A 4,000-nucleotide genomic window follows, 5' to 3' on the forward strand; every position below is an offset into this window, starting at 1 on the left:
TTTTATATTTGCTGAGGAGTGCTTTGCTTCCAACTATGTGGTCAATTTTGAAATAGGTGTGGTGTGGTGCTGAAAAGAATGTATATTCTGTTGATTTGGGGTGGAGAGTTCTGTAGATGTCTATTAGGTCTGCTTGGTGCAGAGCTGAGTTCAGTTCCTGTATATCCTTCTTAACTTTCTGTCTCGTTGATCTGTCTAATGTTGACAGTGGGATGTTAAAGTCTCCGATTATTGTGTGGGAGTCTAAGTCTCTTTGTAGGTCTCTAAGTACTTGCTTTATGAATCTGGGTGCTCCTGTATTGGATGCATATATATTTAGGATAGTTAGCTCTTCTTGTTGAATTGATCCCTTTACCATTATGTAATGGCCTTCTTTGTCTCTTTTGGTCTTTCTTGGTTTAAAGTCTGTTTTATTAGAGACTAGGATTGCAACCCCTGCCATTTTTTGTTTTCCATTTGCTTGGTAGATCTTCCTCCAACCCTTTATTTTGAGCCTGTGTGTGTCTCTGCACATGAGATGGGTTTCCTGAATACAGCACACTGATGAGTCTTGACTCTTTATCCAATTTGCCAGTCTGTGTCTTTTAATTGGAGCATTTAGCCCATTTACATTTAAGGTTAATATTATTATATGTGAATTTGATCCCGTTGTTATGATGTTAGCTGGTTATTTTGCTCGTTAGTTGATGCAGTTTCTTCCTAGCCTCGATGGTCTTTACAATTTGGCATGTTTTTGCAGTGGCTGGTACTGGTTGTTCCTTTCCATGTTTAGTGCTTCCTTCAGGAGCTCTTTTAGCGCATGCCTGGTGGTGACAAAATCTCTCAGCGTTTGCTTGTCTGTAAAGGATTTTATGTCTCCTTCACTTAGTATCCAGCTTAGTTTGACTGGATATGAAATTCTGGATTGAGAATTCTTTTCTTTAAGAATGTTGAATATTGGCCCCCACTCTCTCCTGGCTTGTAGAGTTTCTGCCGAGAGATCCGCTGTTAGTCTGATGGGCTTCCCTTTGTTGGTAACTTGACCTTTCTCTCTGGCTGCCCTTAACATTTTTTCCTTCTTTTCAACTTTGGTGAATCTGACAATTATGTGTCTTGGAGTTGCTCTTCTCAGGGAGTATCTTTGTGGCATTCCTGTGTTTCCTGAATTTGAATGTTGGCTTGCCTTGCTAGATTGGGAAAGTTCTCCTGGATAATATCCTGCAGAGTGTTTTCCAACTTGGTTCCATTCTCCCCGTCACTTTCAGGTACACCAATCACATGTAGATTTGGTCTTTTCACATAGTCCCATATTTCTTGGAGGCTATGTTCATTTCTTTTTATTCTTTTTTCTCCAAACTTCTCTTCTCACTTCATTTCATTCATTTCATCTTGCGTCATGGATACCCTTTCTTCCAGTTGATCAAATCAGCTACTGAGGCTTGTGCATTTGTCACATAGTTCTCATGCCGTGGTTTTCAGCTCCATCACGTCCTTTAAGGACTTCTCTGCATTGGTTATCCTAGTTAGCCATTTGTCTAATTTTTTTTCAAGGTTTTTAACTTCTTTGCCATGGGTTCGAACTTCCTCCTTTAGCTCGGAGTAGTTTGATCGTCTGAAGCCTTCTTCTCTCAACTCGTCAAAGTCATCCTCCGTCCAGCTTTGTTCCATTGCTGGTGAGGAGCTGCGTTCCTTTGGAGGAGGAGAGGCACTCTGATTTTTAGAGTTTCCAGTTTTTCTGCTCTGTTTTTTCCCCATCTTTGTGGTTTTATCTACCTTTGGTCTTTGATGATGGTGATGTACAGGTGGGGTTTTGGTGTGGATGTCCCTTCTGTTTGTTAGTTTTCCTTCTAACAGTCAGGACCCTCAGCTGCAGGTCTGTTGGAGTTTGCTGGAGGTCCACTCCAGACCCTGTTTGCCTGGGTATCAGTAGCAGAGGCTGCAGAACGGCGCATATTGCTGAACAGCAAATGTTGCTTCCTGATCGTTCCTCTGGAAGTTTTGTCTCAGAGGAGTACCCGGCCGTGTGAGGTGTCAGTCTGCCCCTACTGGGGTGTGCCTCCCAGTTAGGCTACTCGGGGGTCAGTGACCCACTTGAGGAGGCAATCTGTCCGTTCTCAGATCTCCAGCTGCATGCTGGGAGAACCACTACTCTCTTAAAAGCTGTCAGACAGGGACATTTAAGTCTGCAGAGGTTTCTGCTGCCTTTTGTTTGGCTGTGCCCTGCCACCAGAGGTGGAGTCTACAGAGGCAGGCAGGCCTCCTTGAGCTGCAGTGGGCTCCACCCAGTTCGAGCTTCCGGGCTGCTTTGTTTACCTACTCAAGCCTCGGCATTGGCGGGCACCCCTCCCCCATCCTCGCTGCCACCTTGCAGTTTGATCTCAGACTGCTGTGCTAGCAATGAGCGAGGCTCTGTGGGCGTAGGATGCTCCAAACCAGGGACGGGATATAATCTTCTGGTGTGCCGTTTGCTAAGACCATTGGAAAAATGCAGTATTAGGGTGGGAGTGACCTGATTTTCCAGGTGCCGTCTGTCACCCCTTTCTATGACTAGGAAAGGGAATTCACTGACCCCTTGCACTTCCCATGTGAGGCGATGCCTCGCCCTGCTTTGGCTCACGCTCGGTGTGCTGCACCCACTGTCCTGCACCCACTGTCCAACACTCCCCAGTGAGATGAGCCCGGTACCTCAGTTGGAAAGGCAGAAATCACCCGTCTTCTGCGTCGCTCACGCTGGGAGCTGTAGACTGGAGCTGTTTCTATTTGGCCATCTTGGCTCCACCCCCCTATTTTGTTTCTTCTGCCTCCTGTAGAAAAACTGTTGATCCTCAGTCATAGAATTACTTACATTTCTTGACAGTAAGCAATTCATGGCAAACACCTGCCTCCTTAAATCTTCCCTCAAATCATCTAACATGAAGCCAAATTATATAAGGAGTCCTCCCACCACACTCTTATTGAGACATGCCACATGTGCTGATGGGATCAGTCTTCCTTGTTACATCAAGTAACCCAAATTCTTTTCACTACAAGTCTTTCTGGTAGTCTTTGAACAGTGAGCATTACCAGCAGTAAGGCACACCATCCTCTGAAACTTCACAGTTTACTCATCTACAAAAAGAGGAAATCAAACTAATAGCATTAGCCTGATTGTTTCCAAGGGACTTTCCAGTTCTGTCATGCCATAGCCATAAGAGTTTGCTATTTTTCTCCCTTTGATCTGATTTTATATACTTACCAAATCTCTGAGAAACTACAATAATGATTGTTTCTACTTTTTATAAGAGAAGATTTACAATAATTAAGACAAATGCTATTCTAAAAGACAGTTCTCTAGTGTTCTCAGAGAGAATGATTAACAGCAGTATTCCTCTGTAATCTATGCAAAGCTTTGAAGTCAGAAGTACCAGAAACCAAGATTTATGCTATAAATAATCCTATAATCCTATATGTAGGCTTTATAATCTTCATCTTTCTCTGGAGTTTTAACCATTTTACAGAAATTGAAGCATAGAAGTAAATTTTTTGGCATGGCAGTTTATAAACCAAATGTGGTTAAAAGCAACTGAGTAATCTTCACTTATGCAGATATAATGATGAAGTCACTAAATAACATGCAATTTAATTATATTTCTGATACATATGACACATCAGTTATACATCATAATATTTAGTTTAGAAACTTCTATCTTTTGTTGAAATTTGGCTGAATGGATCCTTTTGATTTAATAAGTTTTTATTAGAGAATAAAGATCCCTCTCCCTATAGTTCTGAGAAATTTATTTAAATTTCAGTGAAGAAAGATGTGAGAGGAAATGTTGCTAGTGAAGGGAAGAGGTTCATATAGAATAATCAAAGACAACTGACTGCCAGAGAAAAGAAGAATATGAACAAGAAGAGCAGCAACACTGTCAAAAGAAAACCTCTGCAAAGAAAAGTTTGTAGAGGAGCAGCTCTCACTAATGTTAAAAGGGCTATGCACTAAGATTATCTTTTGGATTGTGGAAGCAGACATTTCTTGGAA

General features: G+C 42.1%; 1 annotated feature.

Moving 5' to 3' along the window:
- Positions 1,908 to 2,444: an enhancer, noted in NCBI's record as "H3K27ac-H3K4me1 hESC enhancer chr9:32217123-32217659 (GRCh37/hg19 assembly coordinates)". NCBI's record gives its function as "activates a minimal SCP1, AML or CMV promoter by ChIP-STARR-seq in primed H9 embryonic stem cells {active_cell/tissue: H9 hESC(primed)}" and the evidence as "EXISTENCE:reporter gene assay evidence [ECO:0000049][PMID:30033119]".

The sequence above is a fragment of the Homo sapiens genome, chromosome 9 (assembly GCF_000001405.40).
Source record: "Homo sapiens chromosome 9, GRCh38.p14 Primary Assembly".
Classification (NCBI taxonomy): domain Eukaryota; kingdom Metazoa; phylum Chordata; class Mammalia; order Primates; family Hominidae; genus Homo; species Homo sapiens.